At 37.0% G+C, this 24,665-nt stretch overlaps 1 long non-coding RNA gene across 1 annotated transcript in view, besides 1 other annotated feature; it reads left to right on the top strand.

The window, feature by feature from the left end:
* Positions 1 to 13,399, top strand: part of LOC105369455 (uncharacterized) — a 42,339-nt gene extending 28,940 nt beyond the window's left edge. Inside the window, exon 3 of the long non-coding RNA XR_947946.3 lies at positions 12,735 to 13,399. This is a non-coding gene — a long non-coding RNA (uncharacterized LOC105369455). The remainder of the gene's footprint in view (positions 1 to 12,734) is intronic.
* Positions 13,185 to 13,685: an enhancer, noted in NCBI's record as "H3K4me1 hESC enhancer chr11:98323806-98324306 (GRCh37/hg19 assembly coordinates)". NCBI's record gives its function as "activates a minimal SCP1, AML or CMV promoter by ChIP-STARR-seq in naive H9 embryonic stem cells {active_cell/tissue: H9 hESC(naive)}" and the evidence as "EXISTENCE:reporter gene assay evidence [ECO:0000049][PMID:30033119]".

The raw sequence follows: 24,665 nt of genomic DNA, 5'->3' as shown, positions 1-24,665 counted from the left end.
CTATCATTATCAAACAGAAAATTTAATATAACTATTATATATCTTAATATGTTAAGATCTTTAATGGAAAAGAAAAAGTCATGCAAGAAAATATGGGTAATGAAAGCAGAGGTGGAAGTCCTAAGAATCAAAATAAAATAATAAAAATAAAAAACTCTGTAGCAGAAATGAAAAACACTTTTGATGAGATCTTCACTAGACTTAACACAGCTGTGGAAACAATAAGTGAACTTAAAGATAGATAAAAAGGCCTGTAATCGCAGCACTTTGGGAGGCTAAGGCAGACAGATCACAAGATCAGGAGATCAAGACCATCCTGGCTAAGATGGTGAAACCCCATCTCTACTAAACATACAAAAAATTAGCCAGGCATGGTGGCAGGCACCTGTAGTACCAGCTACTGAGGAGGCTGAGGGAGGAGAATCACTTGAACCTGGGAGGTGGAGGTTACAATGAGCTGAGATCGCACCACTGCACTCCAGTCTGGGTGACAGAGTGAGACTCCGTCTCAAAAAAACAAAAACAAACAAACAAACAAAAATAGATGAAAAGAAACTTCCCCAACTGAAATGCAAAGAGAAAAAAAAATGAACAGAAGAGAACAATATATTCGAGAACTGGGAAACCATTTTAAAAGATGTATCATACGTATAATTAGAACTCAAGAAAGAAAAGGATAATGGAATAGAAGTAAAATTTGAAGTAATATTGTCTAAGTTTGTTTGAAAATTAATCTCAGACACCAAACAACAAATGAAGGAAGCTTACAGAACAGCAACCAGGATAAACACTAAAATGTCTTCACTTAGGAATATCATATGCAAACTTCAGAAAAGCAATAATAAAGAGAATGTCTTGTCAGAACTCAGAAGTGAAAACGTCTAACTCATACAGTTGAAAGGTAAAAATTACAATGGACTTATCATCAGAAACCACATAAGCAAGAAAAAAAACAAATAAAATATTCAAAGTGTTAAAAGAAAAACCTACCAGGCTAATATTCTGTATCCAATAAAATTATCTTTCAAAAATGAAGGAGAAACAAATACATTCTCAGATAATCAAAAAGTTATGGCATTCAATTATTATCAATAGACTCACTATGCAAAAAATGTTTTAAAAATTCTTTCATGGAGAAGAAAAATAATACAAACTGGCAACTCAGATCTACATAAAGAAGGAGAAATATAGAAGAAGGTATACATGAGGGTCAAGTTTAAAAAATATTTTTGTTATTGATGCAAAAGATGTAATAATAATAACAATGTATTGGGTGATAGTAGCATATGGATGAATGGAATGAATAACAATAAATTGTAACGGATTAGAGAGATGAATTAGGTGTAAGTTGTTATAACCTACCCACACTACACATGAAATTTTATACTGCTTTTTAAATTTACCTAAGATTAGTTTAAAATGCATATTAAAAACACTATGACAATTAATGAAACATTTTAACTATAGTCAATTTCCTAAGAGATAAAATATAATCATATAAAATGCACAATTAAAACCACAGAAAGTCAAAATATGCAAATAATATAAGAGCTGGACTGATCCAGGTGGTAACGAATTACAGATGGAAATAAACTCATCTTTAGTTTAACAGATACATATTATTATGTATAGAAATACTTACAGATACGTGTGTATTTATATTTACATAACATATACATACACAAATATGGGTTGGTATTCATATATACATTTCCTTACTCTGCCAACTGAGTGTCTAGATCTGTCAGCTAGAAGCAGTGACATCCAGTAGCAAGCAGCACAGCTAGTGGTCAGATCATGTTTTCTAATACTACTGTCCAAAAAAAGAAACTAGAGATCCATGGAGAAATGGCTGATTCTAAGACTGGGGCAGGATATATGCAGAAGCATTTTATGGTACTAGAAAGTTGTGCTAAACAATAACAGAAACAACAGCAAAATCACCACTGATGAGTGTATGTCAAAGGGACACAGGATCCAATGGAAAGAACTCTCAATGACCATACCTGTAATAATTTGGGCAACAAAATAAGTACAATGATACTTGATTATAGCTCAGAACAACATTAGTATATTTTAGTCTATACTGATATAAGCAAATTATATCAATAAGTACATGGTTGAGAGAAAATAAATTTCCCATGCAGGAAAATTTAACTTATACACATATTCCTTCCTCAAGAAGTTGGATTATAATCTCCCTCCTTAAATGCACATAGTGACTTTCTCTGAATGTGCACAGTATGGAGAGTGGTGGGATTAAGAATGACTTAAGAGTGGATAAAACTAACCAACAATCTTACCTCAGCCAAATAATTGAGGTAAACATAAACAGAGATAAGTCATGTTAATAATATCTACCACTTTACCTCTATGGTGTTTTTCCTAAAACATTGTTTTTAAGTCTATTTGTCTTCACTCATTCGTGCAGCTGTAACAAAATTCTGGAGACGTGGTAATTTATAAAAAACAGAAGTGTATTTCTGACAGTTTAAGAGGTTGGGAAATCCATGATCAAGGTGCTGGCATTTGGATGTGCAACAAGGGCCTTCACGTTACATCCTCACATGGCAGAAAAGATGAAAAGGGCAAAAGGGATGAACCCTGTTTCCTCACATAACAGAACAGAAGAAACTGATCCGACTCCTTCCAGCTCTTTTGTAAGAGCTCTTAACCTATCCATGAGCGCTCCACATTTATGATTTAATCACCTACTAAAGACCTCACCTCTGAACACTATCATATTGGAAATTAAAGCACATGATTTTAAAAACTTTTTTTTAAATTTTACTTTAAGTTCTGGGATACATGTGCAGAACACATGTATTTGTTCCGCAAATACATGGTTTGTATTTGCAGGTTTGTTACATAGGTATACATGTGCCATGGTGGGTTTGCTGCACCCGTCAACCCACCATCTAGGTTTTAAGCCCTGCATACATTAGGTATTTGTCCTAATGTTCTCCCTCTCCTGCCCCCCATCCCCCAACAGGCCCCGGTGTGTGATGTCCCCCCTCCCTGTGTCCATGTGTCCTCATTGTTCAACTCCCACCTATGAGTGAGAACAAGACACATGAATTTTGAAGGACATTCAGACCATAGCATTCCACCCATTGTCCCCACTTTATGTCATTCTGGCATGACGTACATTATTCCATCCCAATAGCCTTGAAAGTCTTAACTTGTTCTAGTATTAACTCAAAAGTCTGATGTCCAGAGTCTCATCTAAATCAGATATGGGCCAGGCATAGTGGCTTACATCTGTAATCCTAGCTTTTATGGAGACCAAGGCAGGAGGATCACTTGTTCAAGACCAGCCTTGGCAACATAGTGAAACCCATCTCTGAAAAAACAAAAAATTCGGATATGGGTGAGACTGAAGGTATGATTTATCTGAGATAAATTGCTCTTCAGATGTGAACAAGTTAAATCAAGCAAGATAGACACTTTCAAAATACAATGGTGGATCAACCATAGGATAAACATTCCCATTCCAAGAGGGAGAGGTAGGCAAGAAGAAAGCAGTAATAGGTAGCAAGTAAGATAAAAGCTCAACAGGGAAAGCAACATTAAGCCTTAAGGTTTGAGAATAATCTTCTTTGACTCCATATTCTGCCTTCTAGACACACTGGAGTGGGGGTTGGACCCCTAAGACCCTTAGCAGCCCTGCCTCCCTGACTTCAGTGTGTACAGTCCATGCGACAGCACTCACGGGTTAAAGTCCAGTACCTGCAGCTCTGCTAGGCTGTTGTTGTATGCTGGTGGCTCTATAGGTCTGGGGTCTTAGCGAGGGCCCTGCCCCCATGGCTTCATTAAGCATTGCCTTAGAGGGGCCTCTGTGCAGTGACTCTGATCCCACAGCTCTGCTGGGCATTGCCATAGTCAGGGATCTAGATAGTATCACTGCCCCATGCAGCAGGTGCCCCTGCAGCACTGCCTCTGCCTCAGCCCCAGTACTCACAAAGAAATCCCTTGCAATCTAGTTAAAGGAAGCTATGTCTCCACAGCTCTTGTACCCTGCATGCCTGCAGAGTGCCATGTGGATGTTGCTAGCGCTTGCCATATGTGCCCATTGTGGGGTGGCCTGAGCTCCAGCTGAGTCCTCTTGAGCCATAGCTGGAGTGGCCAAGGAACCCTGCACCAGAATGCAGGGAGCAGAGACTTAAGGTGGTACTGGGCAACAAGCTCTGAGGTCCCAGGGATGCCCTGGCCGTTGGTGCTCTGGGCTGCTCCCTGGATACCATTCTGCTTAAGGCCCTAGAAATCTGAGGCTGTGATGGACATAGAAGGGTAGATCTCCAAAATGTGTTTAGAGTCATTCTCCCATTGTCTTGATGAATAGCTTCTGGCTTCCTTCTACACATCCTAATTTCCTTATCCCATGGTTGCTTGGCCCCACTTTTGTTTTTCTGTCCTAAACACACTTTTTATTCTTCATACGACCAGGCTGAGAATTTTTCAAAATCTTTTTATTCTTCTTTCCTTTTGATTGTAAGTTTCATCTCTATATTATTTCTCTCTTCTCTTATTTTTATAAGCAGTAAAGAGAAGCCATGTAGCACTCTGAACATTTTGCTTAGAGATTTGTTAACAACAAATATTCTAATTCATTGCTGTTAAATTCTGCCTTCACAAATCCTTAGGGCATGGACACAATTTAGCCAAGTTCTTTGCAACTTTGTAGCAAGAATGGCCTTCTCTCCAGTTTCCAATAAGATATTCCTCACTTCCACCTAGGACCTCATTAGAATGACCTTTACTATCTGTATTTCTACCAACATTTTGTCCATGACCACTTCAACAATCTCTAAGGCTGAGGCTTTCTCTACAGCTCTCATCTTTTTTGGACCTGTCATCAGAATCACCTTTATGGATCTGTTCAGGGTAATACATGTTTTCCCAGCATTCACTTCAAAACTGTTCCAGCCTCTACCCATTATGTAATACTAATGATGCTTCTACATTTTCAGGAATGTTGTAGCAACATTCCCACTCCTTGGTACCAATATCTGTCTTAGTCCATTTACACTACTATAACCAAATACCTGATCCTGCGTAATTTATAAAAAACAGCAATTAATTTTTTGAGATTCTGGAGGGCAGAATAAATCCCAGATTAAGGCAATGGCATTGGTTTATAGTGAGGGTCTTCTTATTGCATACCACAAGGTGGAAAGAGTAAAAAGGTAAAAAAGAGACAAACTCTTTGTATTCACATAGCAGAAGTGCAGAAGGGAGTGAACCCACTCCTTCACATTATTTTTAAGGGCCCTCATCCCATCCGTGAAGGCACTGCCCTCATGACTTAATCTCCTCCTAAAGACCTCACTTCTTAATACGATCACATTGGCAATTAAGTTTCAACACATAAATTTTTGAGAGAAATGGAAACCACAGCCATATTATGAGAAAGACATCAAGCAAATTATAAATGAGAGACATTCTACAAAACACCTGACCAGTACTTCTCAAAAGTACTCAAAATAGTCAAGATCATCAAGAATGAGAAAAGTTTGAGAAATTTTCACAGCAAAGAGAGCCCAAAGAGATATGATGATTAGATGTAATGTGATATTCTTAGTTGGTATCTTGGAAGCTACTCGGGAGGCTGAGGCAGGAGAATCGCTTGAACCCAGGAGGTGGAGGTTGCAGTGAGCTGAGATTGCGCCACTGCACTCCAGCCTGGGCAACAGAACAAGACTCTAGCTCCAAAAAAAAAAAAAAAGTCATTAATTTTGGTTAATTAATTAATTATAACAAATATGTGATACCGATAGAAGACGTTAATAAGTTAATAATAGAAATGGTATGGGGTATATAAGAACTCACTACTATTTTTGTAAATTTATGTTTATCTGAAATTATTCTGGTATTAAAATGTTGAATACATCTCACTCTAGCCTTTTTGTATTTACTGCTAGCGTGGCAAAGACTTTTACTTTTACCTTGTGTCTCTCTATTTAATGGTATCTCTTGAAGGAGGCATAGTAGAATCTTTCTTTGTAACCATTCATCAATCTCTGTTTTATTGGAGTGCATAGATTTAGAATGTCCAGTATATTAGCTTATTAACTAAATGTGGCTATTTAAATTTAAGGTAATACAGTTAAACAAAATTAAAAAGTAATCCCTCAGTCTCACTGGAAATAAGATATATTTCAAGTACTCATCAGCTATTTAGATTTTAACAACTTTAATAGATATAATTATAAAATGTTCAACAGTCACATTTGTATTTTTAAAAACTTAAAGCAAAAGGTAAAGTTTTATATTTATTCAGTTATCATTTGTTTTACATTTTCAAAAATTCATGTCATTCATGAAGATCTTTATCTTTTAATTTTCCTTTAGCCTAAAAATATTTTAGCATTTTCTTTAAATTCATCTGTAAGTGATAAATTATTTTAGATTTCCTTCACCTGAAAATTTCTTTTCTTCATCATCATTCCTAGATAATATTTTCACTAGTTACACAAGTCTTTGATTGACTTTTTTTTTTTCTTTCAGCACTTTAAAATTTTCTCCACTTTCTTCTGGCCTCAATGTTTTCTGTTCAAAAGTTAGGTTGTTCAAGTAGTTTTTTTCCCTGAATGTAATGTATCATATTTCTCTGAATGCCTTCAAAATTTCTCTTTTATCTTTCGTTTTCAGCAGTTTTAATTAAGTTGTGCTAAAGACTTACAGTACCCCCACCATTTAATCCATTTCTGCACAAATTTTTGTCCTGCACTGAAATGTTTTCTCTTCTGTACTGTCCTTCCTTAATAGTTCCTAATTCCTCACATCCAGCTTACTTCTGTTCCCCTCATTTAAGTCTTTCTTATCATCCTTGGAAAGCAGGTAATTCTGTTTTTCTTTCATTTTTTTTAACCAGCTTTTTACCAGAGCTTGCAAAGATATTCATTATCATACTTATCATTCCACATTTCATTTAAACATGTCTATCTTTCTAAGTGTAAGTTCTTTGAAAGAATTAAAAATACCTAATTTATCACAGAATCACCTACTACATGTTATGTCTAATAACAATGGTTCAATGAATTCCGTTAAGTGAACCAACATGAATATTAAGGCTGATGCCAGCACCACATGCATCAAAGGGGATAACATGTACCCACACAACCCACAATGTCAGCCATTTAACAAAATGCATATTTATTTGTCACTCATCCCATAATTCATTATGTGAATATGCCAAAGGACACATAAGATTGGGAGGCAAAAATAAGGTTCTGTAGCAATCACAGAAGCAGGGGTTTTCCACGTAGTGGCTGCATTATTAGTCTTTAGATTTTCACCAGATTCTCTGCATCTAACTGGCCAATAAGAATCTATAGAGAGTGCAGAGTATAACCCCAAAGATTTGAGAAGCCAGAGCTGTGAGTGGTTTACATCACTTGTGTCCACGTATTAGTCTCTCACACTGCAATGAAGAACTACCTGAGCGAGGTGGCTCACACCTGCAATCCCAGCACTTTGGAAGGTCAAGGCAGGTGGATCACCTGCGATCAGGAGTTCGAGTCCAGCCTGAACAACATGGTGAAACCCCATCTCTACTAAATACCAAAAATTAGCCAGGCATGGTGACACATACTTGTAATCACAGCTACTCGGGAGGCTGAGGCAGGAGAATCGTTTGAACCCGGGAGGCAGAGGCTGCAGTGAGCTGAGATTGAGCCATTGCACTCAAGCCTGGGGCACAAGAGTGAAACTCCGTCTTAAAAAAAAAAAACAACTACCTGAGACTGGGTAATTTGTATAACAAATTGACTCACGGTTCTGTAGTCTGTACAAAAGTATGCTGGGGAGGCCTCAGGAAACTTACAAATGTAGTGGAAGGTGAAGGGGAAAGCAGTCATGTCTTACATGGCCGTAGATGGAGGAAAAGAGAGAGAAAGGGAGTGCTACACAGTTTTAAATAACCAGGTCTTGTGATAACTCACACACTATAATGAGAACAGCAAGGGACCCATCTGCCCCCATCATCCAGTCACCTTCCACCAGGCCCCTCCTCCAAGACTGAGGATTACAATTCAACATTAGATTTGGGTGGGGACACAAATCTAAACCATATCACTTAGTTTCATAGAAATGTCTTTGTTCATGTCTTATTATTCTATCTCTTTTCAAAACAAAATTGAGGAACTTCTGCCTTAACCATGATTGTCCAGGAATTGCTCTCCCATTATAAACAACTAGAAAACTACAATCTACTGTTTTAATATATTGGACATCACAATACGCAACATAGGGATGTGGTCACAGAGGGAAAGTAAGCAAACAGTAAAAACTATGATTATCCAAGTGCATTGTCTGGATGCCATTTGCAAGCCACAGAGCAAGAAGGGAAAGCCACAGAGTCTAAAAGTCTCACTGAGTCTCCTTAGGAACCTACTGTTTCCTAAGGAGCCCAAGAAGCTACAATTTTCATGACAGTACTGCAGAAGACAGAACTGCACAGAGAGAGCTCTAAAGATCTTCATGGAGGGTGAGGGAGCGATATTTCCTTAAAGGCTTTGTTTATGTACTGATCTGCTCATGTGTGAGAAAAAACTACATCTTACTGGGAGAAAACCACCAGAAAGCAACAGACTAAATAATTCTAGTCGCTGATGCATAGCTGGAAGTATTTTATATTCACATCTAGCCAGACTGAAGGGACTTCATCATACATAGGCAATGAGTGGATTCCTCAGAAAGGTCACACCATAGTATGGAGCTAAATTAAATATATAATAAATGCTGCTCTGGATCTACCCTAATTAAGCAAGTCTCAATTTTAGCAAACTAATTGCAATTAACTTAAGTGTGAGCCAGAACAAGTCCAACACTCTTTAAACAACTTCATTAAGACCCAGGTCCCATTGATGAAAACATAAAATATCCAATATTCAATCTGAGTATTTGAAAACAGCATAGCTCAGTGCAGGTGAGGGATTCATTAAATGTGATAAATTGTCATTTACTTTTTTTTTCAGAAAATGTTGAAAACATGATTTAACATAAAATTTAATAAATTGCAATGCATATTATACTTTTTAGGTAAATGCTAAGAATATAAGAATAAAATTTTACAAAACAAATTTAGGAGATATAAGAAAATAATTAAAATTATGATAAACTGAAAGAAGACAAGAAGGAGGGATAAAAATTACAAACCAATGAACAAAAATGGAAAGCAAAAAACAAGATTGTGACTTAAACTGAATTAATGTTAGTGAATTCATTAAATTTATACAGAAGAAGATTTCCAAGTAATATCCAAAGATTATCAGAATAGTTAAATAAATTAAGCAAAAATTTTCTGCTATACACAGGAGGCAACTTTTAAATATAAGAATACTAAATGTTTAAAAGATAGAAAAATATATCCCATACAAATAGCAAACAACAAAAAACTAACATAGCTATATTAATACCAGCCACCATATATATACAGACAAGAAGTATAGAACAGAGAAAAAAAGAATCTTAATAACAGCATGTGATAAACAAAAAGTATCTCTATCAGAATCTTGTGCCAAAATTCTATAGAAGTACAAGTGATACAAAAGTGGGGAAGGGAAGCGCTGGGAAGGAAAGGGCATGGTACCTTTAAATGATACAGAAGTTGGGTAGGGCATGATCCCTGGCTAGGGCTCCACCCCCGGGCCTGTGCCCACGAACCTAGGTGAGTACAGGCATTTTTGTTTTTCTGGCCAAAGGTTGCATTTCCCAAGACCACCCTCGCCTGCCATGCCCCCATCCTGTGCCTATAAAAGCCCCTAGACCTTAACAGGCGTCTGCGCCTTCGGGAGGCGGCTGGACTTCGGGAGGAGCACATCAGCAGAGGCACACACGGGCAGCTGGATGTCGGATAGGAGCACATCAGCAGGCACTGGTATGCTGGTAGGCCATCAACCAGCAGAACAACATGAAGTTTGGCTGAGACAGTCAGAGGAGAGCCTGGGCCACTGAGCAGACCAACTCCAGGGAAAAACCATCTCCCTTCTGGCTCCGCCATCTGCTGAGAGATACTTCCACTCAGTATAACCTTGCACTCATTCTCCAAGCCCATGTGTGATCTGATTCTTTTGGTATACCAAGGCAAGAATCCCAGGTTACAGAAAGCCCTCTGTCCTTGCAATGAGACAGAGGTCTAATTGAGCTGACTAACACAAGCCACCTGTGGACGGCTAAACTAAAACAGCACCCTGTAACACATGCCCACTGGGGCTTCAGCTGTAAACATTCACCCCTAGTCACTGCCGTCGGGTTGGAGCCCCACGACCTACTGGTCTGTATGCTCCCCTAGAGGTTTGAGCAGTGGGGTACTGAAGAAGTGAGTCACACCCTCATTGCACGCCCTGCTATGGGGACACAGGAGCTTCTCCCATTCAACTGGGGGCTCACTTGGGATATTGGGAGCCAATGCAAAACTGCTGGGTCTGCCTTTCTTCCAAAACCCTGCCACCTTGCTTTCTTTCCAGCAAGCAAGAGGCTCTGTTTTCCTTTCACCTTTTTTCTCTCTCTCGGTTTGAAATGGCTCTTATCTTTTCCTTTATAATGTTAAGAGTTTTGCTACAGGCTGCGGCAATGTTACTAAGTAAAATAAGCATTCGGCTCAGCTGCCAAAGTTGCAAATCAGACCAACTGTTCCTGGAGGTGGCATGTATGCCTCCGCCTCGACAGCCACAGGCACACACAGCTCAGGGCACCTCTCCTTATCCTTTCCCCTCCGAGATGAGGTGCCTAGGTGTGCCCACCGCAGGCAAAAGGCTGAGCCCAACAGCCACGAGAGGGACAGGAGAAAACCTGTGGCAGCCGGGACCCTACAGCTTGCTTCTTGCTGGTCACACCAACAGAACCTTTCCTCTCCTGGTCAAAGAATTCAACCTGGTCTGAACCATGGGAAGGATGGGAAAGTTATAAGGATTAGAGGGGCCCACTTGCACTAAGCAAGGGGTTCTTCCCACAGAATCTCCCCCCCTTTGGCCCCATAAACTGTTTTTCTCTTTTTTTCTTTTCTAAATGAGAGTGCGCCCCCTCTCAGCTCTGTTTTTGATAGGGAAGTTAAGGAAGGAGAGACTCCTGCTGGCTGCTAACTGCAAATTCGGCAGGGCTTATCTGAGACACTAAATGGATACAAAAAGCCTCTGTAATACCTTTTCAGTCTCAAACTCGATTCCAACCTTCAGGCTGAGGCCCTAGAAAAAAAAAGACCAGTTCCGAGGGATCCAAAGCCAGGCAACAGGCACAATGTAAACGGGAAGCACCAATTCCTGCCGACTGAACCTCACCCAATGGAAAAAGGCCATGCTCCATGGTATAAACAGGCCCAGGGAACTCAAAATTTGCTGACAGCAAGGAGAAAGGGAGGCATAGGTGAGGGCAGTTAATTCCTATTCTCCAGGTTTTCCCTGCTTCACGGGTACATACTGCATATAGGTACCTATAGCCGGCACCTGCCAAGGTTGCCGGGGCTCGGCAACCCAGATCTTTGCTAGCAATGTAGGATTGATCCAGCCCTCCTATTTGCCATCTCAGGGAAGGATGCAAGGGGCAAGCCCAGGGAATTAAAAATAGGAATCCCAGAAGCACTCCCAGTGGGGGAGCCAGCTCCCTGAAGCCCTGCTCCTCCAGGTCTACCACAACCTCCCTACACAGCTTCAGACTCTCACTTGCCCCCTCCTAGAAATCCTCACTCGGAACAAGCCCCAGTCTCACTCTTGCCCCTCCATCAGATGCCTATTGAATTTGGGCCCAGTAAGATTCAGGACCCCTTCTCCCTACAGGATTTAAAGCAAATTTAGGGGGATCTTGGCAAGTTTTCAGATGACCCTGATAGATATATAGAGGTTTTCCAGAATTTCACCCAAATATTTGAACTCTCCTGGAGAGACATTATGTTACCTTTGAATCAGATCCTAACAGGCACTGAGAAGCAGGTCACTCTGCAAGCAGCAGAGAGATTTGGGGATGAGCTTTGTATCACATATAGCATGAGGAAAGGGGGTGAATAGTATCCAACTGGAAGAGAAGCAGTACCAGGCAATGACCCTAAATGGGATCCCAGTGATGAGATGGAAGCCTGGAAGAGGAGACACTTTCAGGTGTGCATAATGGAGGGCTTATGTAGGACTAAGACCAAGTCTCTCAATTATACTAAACTGTCGATGCTTGACCAGGTATTTGATGAAAATCCCACTGCCTTTCTAAAAAGACTAAGAGAGGCCTTGGTAAAGCACACCTCTCTATCTCCTGATGTAGTCAAGGAATAGCTAATCCTAAAGTTTATTACTCAGGAAGCTCCTGATATCAGGAGGAAGTTGCAGAAATGGGCCCCGGGACCAGATAGTACATTAGAGGACCCTCCTGAAAATGGCCACCTTGGTCTTTTATAATAGAGACGGGGAGGCCCAGGAAAGAAAGAGGAGATACAGGAAAGAGGCAGAAGTTTTAATGGTCACTGTGCAAGCCCACAAACCCCAGAGTTCCTAAGGTACACCTGTTAACTGCTAAACTATGGCAAGAAGAGTTATCTCTCTTCTAAAGTTTATCCACTCCCATACAAGGTTTAATTTCTTTCACCAGGGTGAAACAGCTTGGGGTAGAATGTTGTTGTTAGTATATTTCATGTTTTTCTCTGTAATCTTTGGCACTACATTCTTGCCTTGTATAATACACATGTTTAACCCATGCATACTTAACCTTATAAAACTTGTTTCTTTTTTTTTTTTTCCTCTCATGCCTAGAAGCCATTGGCTGCTCTTTGCAAGGAATCCTTAGACAGACCTCTGGGAGGAATCTGACTACTGTTTTCCCCAAAACAATACGCCATCAGCAGGAAGCGGCTAAGACCAGTCATCATCCATATTTTAAAGGCAGTTACACGTACTTCTTCAGAGGGGGAAAATGATATGGAAGGGAGGAAGGGAATTGCTGGGAAGGGAAGGGCATGGTCCCTTTAAATGATGCGGAAGGGGTAAAGGGCATGGTCCCTGGCTAGGGCTCCACTCCCGGGCCTGTACCCATGGACCTAGGTGAGGACAGGAATTTTTGTTTTCCACCCAAATGTTGCATTTCCCAAGACCACCCTGGCCTGCCACACCCCCATCCTGTGCCTATAAAAACCCCAAGACCTTAGCAAGCAGACACACAGGCATCTGGACGCCAAGAGGACCACACCAGCGGAGGAACGCACCGGAAGCTGGACTTTGAGAGGAACGCACCAATAGGCACCAGCATGCCGGCAGGCCACCGACCGGCAGAAAGATGCAGAGTTTGGCCAGGGCAGTCGCAGGAGAGCCCAGGCCACCAAGCAGCCCAACTCCAGGGGAAAACCATCTTCCTTCTTGCTCCCCCGTCTGCTGAGAGCTACTTCCATTCAATAAAACCTTGCACTCATTTTCCAAGCCCATATGTGATCCAATTCTTTTGGTACACCAAGGCAAGAACCCAGGGATACAGAAAGCCCACTGTCCTTTAGGCAGGGGTCTAACTGAACTGATTAACACAAGACACATGCCCGCTGCGGTTTCAGCTGTAAACATACCCCTAGACGCTGCCTTGGGGTCAGAGCCCTATAGCCTGCCCATCTGTATGCTCCCCTAGAGGTTTGAGCAGCAGGGCACTGAAGAAGCAAGTCACACCCCCATCACACACTCTGCTAGGGGAAAAAGGGAACTTTTCCTATTTCACAAGGTAACCCTAGCCATACAAATCCAGTTATATATAGCTAAATTCAACAGATTGAGCATTTGAAAGAGAAATCATCTACATTCATGGTTGTATATTTTTAACTTACCTCTTTGAGTAGATGATAGAACAAGAGAAAGTAATTCATTAAGAATGAAGTAGATTTAGAAAACAAATTAACAAATTTGAACTAATTGACTTTTTAGTATATGTATCTGTGTTTCTATAAAATGATATAATGTCCCACTAAACAAGTCAAGATTATATATTTTTCCAAGTGAACGGACAACTATTACCAAAAGTGACTATAAATCTGCTTATGAAATGTCTTGAAAATGTAAAATAATTGAAATTTCACAGAGTAGTATCTCTGAGTACAATAGAATTAAACTAGAAAATACCAACAAAATAAAACTCTCATATGATCCCAAATTTGCTAATTAGGTTACACATTCCTAAATAACTCACATGTCAAAGAAGAAATCTTGGGGAAAATAGTTGAACCAAAATAAAACTGAAAATATATCAAAACTTTGTGAGGTAAAAATTGAGTTCGGGAATGGTAGTGTAAATAAAATAAAGCCATTCTCCTTTGCTGATTACAACTAAAACCTCTAGGGAAGAAAGGAAAGGAAAGGCTGGGCTCGATGGCTCACGCCTGTAATGTTACACTTTGGGAAGCCAGGAGGTGGAGGCTGCAGTGAGCAGAGATCGCGCCACTGTATTCCAGCCTGGGTGACAGAGCAAGAGACTCTGGAAAGAAAGACAGAGAGAGAGAGAGGAGGAGGCAGGAGGAGGAGGAAAGGAAGGAAGGAAGGAAATGAGGATTCTAAAAAGTACACAAAAATGGAAGATTGTGGACATGAATCAACACTTGAGTTGGTAACATAAAAATATCAGAAATATTAGATATCTGGGAAAAGTTTTTCAGAGAAATATATCAAGAAAAACATTGAAAATATTAAGTAGAAGTGGAAAAGATTCAAGATTAAATAGTTATGATTGCAAAAGCAAAAACTTAAATCACTATTTAAAACAAAAATTATAACACAGGCATGTAGAGTTTAGATGTATGCAAATACAATTCATCTGACAGTGATAAAATGAAAGATGATAAGGAAAGATTTAAATGGAAGTTTTCTACATTTTATGACAAGTGATACAATATTAATATTTAGAAGACTGTGAAAAGATTAGGTATTATATTGTGTTTCTTAGGGAGAGCATTAAAGCTGTATACAAAAAGTAGAGGTAAAACGATGAGACACTGGAATGGCTAAACTCCAGAATACTGACAATAACAATTGCTGACGAGCATGTGGAGCAACAGAAACTCCCAGTCATTGCTGGTTGGAATGCAAAACTAAAAAAAAAAAAAGACAGTTTGGCAGTTTCATATAGAACAAAACATACTCTAACCATATTATCCAGTATTCATGTTCCTTGATATTTACTCAAAGGAGTTGAGTTCATATGTCCATATAAAACCCATACACAGATACTAATAGCTCCTTTTTCATAATTGCTAAAACTTGCAACCAAGATGTCCTTCCATAGGTGAAGGAATAAATAAAATGTGCTACATCCAGACAACAAAATATTATTCAGTGCTAAAAAAATGCGCTGTTATGACAAGAAAAGACAGGGTAGAAACTTAAATGCATATTACTAAGTAAAAGAGGACAATTTAAAAACCCTACATACTGTTCCAACTCTACAACATTCTGGAAAAGGCAAGAGCAACATATTGCCTTCTGCTTTGAGGCCTGAGTACATAATATTGTTTCTCCCTGAGACACTCTGTCTTACTGTTCACCTAGCTAATTCCTACATTTGATTCTCATCAAAATTTAAATATTATCACTCAGAGGAATCTCCCCAAATCCCCAGTGCAAATTAAGCAATATTTTTATCCTTGTACTTATCACAATTTTTGTTATACATGCATTTGTATAAATATTTATATATGTCTAAGAATACATCATCAAACAGATATACTTTTAAGTACCTGTAAATAACAATCTTAATTCATTATTTTTACATAAGCATGATATTTCCATTAGTACCTAATAAATTGCACCAACAAAATTTAGCACTTTAACTCTTAAATTCTAATTTGTAAAGAGCTGTGGCCCATCGTACTTGGGCCAAAAATATGTTCTTTAAGGTAAAATTTTATCCTTGTTATTTAGTCTTAATTATTTCACTGTGAATCCTTTAACGTATTAGTAAAACAATTGTATGGAACTGCAGAAATCTTCCAAGTTTATTTACACCTAAAATTATTCGACTGCTATTTTGGAAGCTTTTAATTTATTCATTTGAAAAGGAAATGAAAGATGAGGGGAGACATCTGAAAAACTCACATATAATTGATTCATTATTGTTTTCTCTTATATGCTCATTTATTTTTTCCCAGTTTTATCTTTTTTAGTCAATTGATTATCCAAACATTTTAGATAAAATAGTGCTAAATGTAAGAGAATATCCACAATATAAATTTTTCAACACTTTTGTTTCCTAACCACTCATCTACACCAACATATGTGCACGGATGCATGCCATGGTTAATTGTATGTGTCATCCTGACTGGGCTAATGGATGCCCAGATAGCTGGTAAAACATTATTTTGGGGTGTGTCAATGAGGATGTTACTGGATGAGATCAGCACTTGAGTGGATTGAGTGAAGAAAGTCACTCGAAGTATGCATCTTCCAATTCCTTGAGGGCCTGAATAGAACAAAAGGTGGAGAAAGGGCAAGTTTGCTTCCTGTTTGTGCTTGAGAAATCCATCTTCTTTTGCCCACCCTTGCACATTGCTGCTCCTGGTTCTCATATGTTCAGACTGACTGAATCACGCCACTGGCTTTCCTCTGTCTTCAGATTATATATCTATCTATATCTATATCCACATCTATAGCTATATCTATCTGTCATCTATTTATCTATCTATCATCTATCATCTGTCTATATATAGGTTCTGTTTCTCTGGAAAATGTTGGCTAATTCAGTACATATATCACATATGCCCTTCAGTATACATATGCAAGCACACATATATATGCATGCACAGACTCACACGCACACACACATAGAGCCAAGCTTTTCATTCACAGCATTAAGAAACATTTTGAATAAAAAATTCTTAAGAAATTCAATTTAAGTATTTGCCAGAGGAATTTTTTTTCAAATGTCAAAATATTGCAAAATAATAGACCTTAAGGATATGGGAAAATCAGAACAAAGCCTGTTATATTTGCTCTTGTAATTCTACCTAGGAGAATCTAATAAACTCTGCAATGAGAGCATATGTTATAAGCTAAAGCTAATATCTGACACCATAGAGATGCAAACAATGAAACACTTCCTACATTTCAATGAAGAGAACTGTTCTGTCATCCGTTTTATACAAAATTACTAACTGGCAGAAATTATGTACTTATGAGGGATGCCAATACACTGGCAAAATACAGTGAGTATTTTCATCTCAAAACTCCCAAATTTTTTTTTTACAGCTTGGTCTTGCCTTGTTTTAATAGGATTCATTTTATCCTTGGTGATACAATGCTGTTTCAGCAAGAAGTGATCACTTATCAGGCAAATTAAATTCCTACTCAATTTCCTTAACAATAACTCAAAAGCATGGATATCAGCACTTTGGGATTCAAGGAGAATTTATTACAAGTGAGACAAAAGTTTTATCTGTATATGTAACACATTTTGATGAATACTAAAATATTTGTAAATGATTACAGGGTTCATTTCAGCTGTAATATACCAAAGTATATTAGGAGTAAACAAATGTCTCTCATTTCAATTATCAGTTACATATTGAATATTTTTCTACCAAGAGAAAAGCAAGTTCTACAAATTATTTTAATTTTTATTTTCTCTGTTGATGATTACTGGAGCAAACAAGCACAGACAAATGTAGTGGGTTGCTTATTTCTTTACATGACTATTTAAAATAATTGAGTCAATTATTAGGCATAAAAAAAGTACAAGAAAATTGTTTTATGATAGCTACTAGAGCTAACAATTCACTGAAACAGATAATTGAACACCAGTAATATACTAGGTCTTACCTTGGATCCAGATTTAGGTGCATTACCATAGAGGATGCAAGTGAAAGATTGTGCCCTCAAAAGATAATGTTCCTTAGGATGTCAGCTATAAGAAATGAAAATAAAACTCTCTTGATTCGGAGTTGGTAAGGTCTATCAAGCTATCAACCATCCATATATCTAAAGTTAACCATAATACAAATGTCTTTCCTAGGTCCTTTAGAGTTAATACTGCTTTAAAGGAAATTTGAAAATTTACTGAAATCAGATTTTTTTTCTTGCTTTTATTCCCCTGGTTCAGTATAGTACAGCTTAGACAAAATAGAAAGATTCATATATTTGGGCTTATTCAGATTTCAACCTAAAATTAAATTATTTTAAATTGTTAAATGTACTTTATGCAGTGCATTTGCAGGAATCCTCAATGCCCAGGTTCTTTAAAAGTTTTATTCTGTTAAAGTTATAGGAATATTCCTAGTTCCAACATAATACCTTGCTTTTTGTTTTTAAAATCCTTGTTAAAATGTTAGTCTTACTTGGATTGTATAACCAAGCCATAATAGCATGATTTAATTTTACTTATAAAGAGAGCTGGGTTCCCAACTAAGCCCTAAGGAAACATAACACAGGATGTGCCGGGTAGGGACAGTAGTCTTGGTTCAAATACCAATCTATCTCTTTTACACCACGTTTTCAAAAATTTTCATGAATCAGTGTTTCTTCATTTGTTATTTCTTTTAATGACCATTTCTAGAGACGTGTGTGTGTGCGTGCGTATGTGTGTGTATTTTCACCAGTTCGATTGTAGAGTGAGTCAGCAGAGGTCCTCACATTGTCATGCTAGAATCCTCCAAGTTCTTTATCAGAAGTAGTTTTTCCAACAAATAAGGTTTTTTTTACTATGTATAGAAGGTAAAGTTTGCCACCATCAAGAGTTATACTCTCTTGTCTAGGAGTTTACTGGTTTATATGTTCATAAATTCAAACAGCCTTTTGTTTCAGTCTCATGTCACTTTTAAGACATGCTTCACTATTATGCTGAAAAGCCATATACTAGTAATGTATCCTGTTCATTCATATTTTTTTTAGAAACCAAATGAAATACTCTTTTTTAGTCTTTTTTAGGTTGTTCTCAAGCTTTATTTTTTTCCAGGCTATTTATCACCAACCATCATTTCCTTACCAGGATGTATGGAAGTAGATATAACTAACTTTGTTTAGAAAATTTTGTAGTAATAACTGTGGAAAATAATAGTAAACTTTGTTCAAGAACCAACAATGAGAAATATTTAGCACATGTAAATAAGTGAGTACTTTAACAGGCATTTTCCTCTATAGTGAGAATGCTGGAGTGTTAACATGACACTTGCTCCACAAATGCAATAAAGAATTATTGGTTTTTGAGTCTGCATTGAGCACTTCAGACACTTCAGGCTGTTTGTAAAAAATTAAAAACAAAGGGGAAGTGTTGACTAATATAAATCCAAGCAGATTTAACCCAAATAAGATTACTTCAAGACGTGTAATTATCAAACATTGCTCAGTTGCTGGATCTGTAATATAATTAAGTGAGAACAACTTCAACGGAATGCAATTCTAACCAGTTTGAAACTCAAATAATCCTTGGTGGTTTCATCTAATTCAGCTACTTACTTATCAGAAGGACTTTTTTTTACCATGAGATATTTAAGTAATATTTACATCGACTATTGAACATTTTCCTCCGTAGTTCATCAAAAGAGGAGATGGCTCAGCTTGATTACTTTTTTTAATTTTTAAATTTTTTTATTTTTTATTATTATACTTTAAGTTTTAGGGTACATGCGCACAACGTGCAGGTTTGTTACATATGTATACATGTGCAATGTTGGTGTGCTGCACCCATTAACTCATCATTTAACATTAGGTATATCTTCTAACGCTATCCCTCCCCCCTCCCCCCACCCCACAACAGGCCCCGGTGTGTGATGTTCCCCTTCCTGTGTCCATGTGTTCTCATTGTTCAATTCCCACCTATGAGTGAGAACATGCAGTGTTTGGTTTTTTGTCCTTGCGATAGTTTGCTGAGAATGATGGTTTCCAGCTTCATCCATGTCCCTACAAAGGACATGAACTCATCCTTTTTTATGGCTGCATAGTATTCAATGGTGTATATGTGCCACATTTTCTTAATCCAGTCTATGATTGTTGGACACTTGGGTTGGTTCCAAGTCTTTGCTATTGTGAATAGTGCCGCAATAAACATACGTGTGCATGTGTCTTTATAGCAGCATGTTTTATAATCCTTTGGGTATATACCCAGTAATGAGATTGCTAGGTCAAACGGTATTTCTAGTTCTAGATCCCTGAGGAATCGCCACACTGACTTCCACAATGGTTGAACTACTTTACAGTCCCACCAACAGTGTAAAAGTGTTCCTATTTCTCCACATCCTGTCCAGCACCTGTTGCTTGATTTCTTAAGTTGTAGTCACCCCAGAATTTTGATATGTCATAAACCATGTGAAATGGACCTTCAGAGGGACAATTTACTTGAGTTACCGTAAAACTTGATAAAGAAATTCATCAAAGAGATGAAAAGTGTGGATTTATGTAGTGCAAACTGTAAAATAAAACACAATATTATACATCTCTTCCATTGTGCCAGGTATACTGAAGTACTATATTTTTATTGTACATTTAACACTAAAACAAAGATGATAAGGTTAAATAAAAACAAATACCTAATGAATTGATAGAATTGTTAGTTTATTTGCACAATGAAGGAATAATGTAGGATAAAAGAGTGATTTTAGAAAAGATGGTCAGAGAAGTATTTTCTGAAGCAGTAGCATACTAAGTGCTCACTTAAATAAAGTGAGGATGCTATAATGAAAATGTCTTATAGACTATTATACCAAGCAAAGAGAATTGTATCATTAAGCTATTGCTATGTAACAAAGCCACCCCAGAACTTGCTGACTCAAAACAATTAGCATTTGTTTAATTCATGAGTTCATGGGTCTTTGGATCATTCTTTTAGTCTAGGCCAACTTTGGATGATACTATCTAGGTGGGCTCTGCTATACACCTGTTTCAGCTGCCAGGTAGATGGGAGTTGACTAATCTAGGATTGGCTTGCAAGATTATATCAGCTCTACTCCACCTCCAGCTCCCTCATTCTTTATCATGCTAGCTCATTATTGAGGTTCAAGAAAGAGAGGAAGGTACTCAAAGGTTCTTGAGGCCTACATTTTTAACTAATCTTCCATCACTTTCATTACATTCTTTTGGCCTAGGAAAATCACAAGGTCAGCCTAAAGTCATGGGCTGAAGGAAGGAGACTATGTGTTGCTGGAATGAGTGGCAGAATCATTTTAGAAATGATACAGATAGGAGTGGATACAGATAGGAGTTAAGAATTATAGTTATTTTTGTAATCAATCTATTATAAAAAAAAACTACCTGAAAAGTTCTTGAGTCAAAAATATGATTCACATGTCCAGGAACTGTCAATGAGATCACTGTGACTAGAATACAGTAATCAAAGTGGATTAAGGCATAAGTTCAGAGAGGATATCAGAGGATGTAAAGTCTCTTGTAATCAGTTTAGATTTTATTGCAAGTGTTACAGGAAACTGTCGAAAGTTGAGAGTAGGGCATTAACCTGATTTGATTTACATTTTTTAACTTGCATTTTTGAAATATCATTATTGCTCTTATTTGAGGAATTTGCTGTAAGGGCCCAAAGTGGAAGCAGTGAAACCAGTTGAGAAGTGATTACATAAGATAGACAAAAGATTACAGAAGATTGGTAACAAATGGATGATGCAAGGAGAACTCACGCTGGGGATAAACTTTACATGTGGATGGATGAGAGAAACAGCGTGAAAGAGAAAAATCAGTCAGGAATCACTAGTTTATAGTAATTACCTCTGCTCATCACTTGTTCCTACTTTAAATCACTTTGTTCACTGGCTTTTGTTATAACACACGTTCCCCTTTATTTGTTCATTTGCTTTGGTTTTTCTCATTCTTTTTGTTTCACTAGCTGCTCTGTTTCAGCCACTTTGCCAATGGCTATGCATCCCATCACTCCTTAAATGTTTAATTTCCACAAGATATGTCCTATATTATTTTATTATCTACAATGAATATCCTTTCCTAGATTACCGTACCATTTTTATGGGTTTGTTGTTAATCTCTTTTTTTTATATTTACACTAGCCCTGACATTTCCTCACACTGTCCAAAAAAAAAAAAATCCTGAGCCTATTTTATATCCCCATTTAGTTGTCTTATAAGCCCTTTAAAACTAATGTGAACAGAACTAAATTCATTTATTCCCCCCTACAGACCTGATTCTTTTCACTTATCCTGCGTACTACCTTGATCAATATATTTTCTTACACCAGAAATCTGAATGTAATAATTAATCTCTTTATCTTTTACCTTTGAGTCCACAGCTAATCAATTCCATATTATGTCCATGCTATGCCACAAAATCTCTATAATCCATTCATTTTTCCACATTTATACTTTTCCCATTTGATACTCTTCAGCAATCACCTGTAATACAGCACTAATTTCTTATGAATTATTCTTAATTCCACTATATTCTATATACTGTGGCAAGAATAATTTTACCATTACAAATTACCTAAGTCAATCCCATGATTAACATATGGTGTGTTATTATGTACATAGATTTTATGTAATGGGTAATCAATGTATTAAACAAAATCTCATTCTTTAAGAATAAATACCATAGTCTACAAGAACAACTTCAAAGTTTCAATGTAATTTACAATTTCTTTCACAGCCTTATATCATGCCATGCTTCCCATTAGCCTGTATTCTTCACACCATCATACTTTCGTTTCCTTAGTTTTGTTTAGCTCATGTGCATCTCCACCTCCAGGTTTTGTCATGTTTTGTTCTCACCATATGAATTACTATTTTTCATATTTCCCATACCCTAGCCCCACACAAATAAGTAATGTATACAACTAACTTCTATTAACTGATTAAAAACTATTTAGCATAAATTAAGTGGTAGAAATGTGAAATCTTGACTCACAGAAAAATACAACATATTATAACACTGTAATTGTAGTGTGTAAACTAAACTACTAATATCTTGAGTAGGAAAACAAAAAGAGAAACCTATCAAAAGTAATATCTTTGACAACTTTTTAAGGCATAGACAGTATAATAACATTTAAACAGAAACAAAGACAGTTTAAAAGTGGAGGAAGCTGAAATTAATATGTAGAGTTTCTGTTAGTTTTTCCTTCTTGTTTGTTTGTTAATTTTTGCATCAGAGTTTAGTTGTTATCAGTTTAAAATAATGGATTATAAGATGGTATTTGAAAGTCTCATGGTAACCTCAAATTAAAAAAAATAAAAACCTACAACAGATACACAAAAACTAAAAAGCAAGAAATTCAATAATACCATCAGAGAAAATCACTTTCCTAAAAAGGAATACAGGAAAGAAGGAAGAAAGAGACGACCACAAAACAACCAGAAAACAAATAACACAATGGCAGGAATAAGTCCTTATTATCAATAATATCATTGAAGGTAAATGTGCTGAACTCTTTAATCAAAATATACAGAGTGGCTGGATGAATAAAAAAGCAAGACCCATCTGCTTCCTTCAAGAAGCACACTTCATGAATAAAGACACACACAGACTGAACATAAAAGGATGGAAAATATGTTCCATGCAAATGGAAACTACAAAAGGAAGGAGTAGATATATTTATATCAAATAAAATAGATTTCAAGAAGAAAACTATAAAAAGAGACAAGGAGGGTCATTATATAATGATAAAGGAGTCAATTCAACAAGAACATATAACAACTGTAAATATATATGCATCCAACAATGCAGTACCCATATATATATATATAAAGCAAATATTATTAGAGCTAAAGAGAGATATAGACTCACATACAATCAAAGCCAGAGTTTCCAATGCCACACTTTCAGCATTGGGAAGAGCATCCAGATAGAAAATCAACAAAGAAATATTGAACTTAATCTGCACTATAGATCAAATGGACCTAAGCTATTTACAGAAGGTCTTATCCAATGGCTGCTGAATGTGTACTCTTCTCCTCAGCACATGGATTATTCTTAAGGAGAGACGTTATGTTATGCCACATAAAAGTTTAAAAAAATTCAAAAAATTTGAAATCATCTCACATATCTCCTCTGATCATAATGTAATATAACTAGAACTCAATAACAAAGAATTTTAAAACTATACAGATACATGGAAATTAAACAATATGCTTCTAAATCATCAGTGGATAAAGGAAATAAGAAGAAAATGAAAGTTTTTTGAAAAAAATAAAAATGGAAACACAGCATACCAAAGCCTAAGTGATACAGCAAAAGCAGTACCAAGAGGAAAGTTTATAGCAATAAGCACTTACAAAAAAGTAGAAAGACTTTAAATATACAACTTAATTATGCATCTTTAAGAACTAAAAAAGCAAGAGCAAATCAAACACAAAATTAGTAGAAGAAAATAAATAATAAAGATCAGAGAAGAAACAAATAAAATTAATATACATAAAAGATCAACAAATGAAAAGTTGGTTTTCTTTTGAAAAGATAAATAAAATCAACAAACCTTTAGCAGACTAAGAAAAGAGAGAAGACCTAAATACATATAATCAGAAGTGAAAAAAGAGACATGACAATTTATATTACAGAAATTCAAAGGAATATTAGAGACTACTATGAGCAATTATATGCCAATAAATTGAAAAACCTATAAGAAATGAATGAATTCCATGATACATACAACCTACCAATATTGAACCATTAAGAAATCTAAAACCTGAATGGACCAATAACAAGCAAAGTGATTGAAGATTATAATAAAAAGGCTCCCAACAAAAATAGCCAGAATTTGATGGCTTCCATGCT

The sequence above is a fragment of the Homo sapiens genome, chromosome 11 (assembly GCF_000001405.40).
Source record: "Homo sapiens chromosome 11, GRCh38.p14 Primary Assembly".
Taxonomy (NCBI): domain Eukaryota; kingdom Metazoa; phylum Chordata; class Mammalia; order Primates; family Hominidae; genus Homo; species Homo sapiens.
Note: the sequence above shows the minus strand (reverse complement) of the source record. Positions and strands in the feature narration are given on the sequence as shown.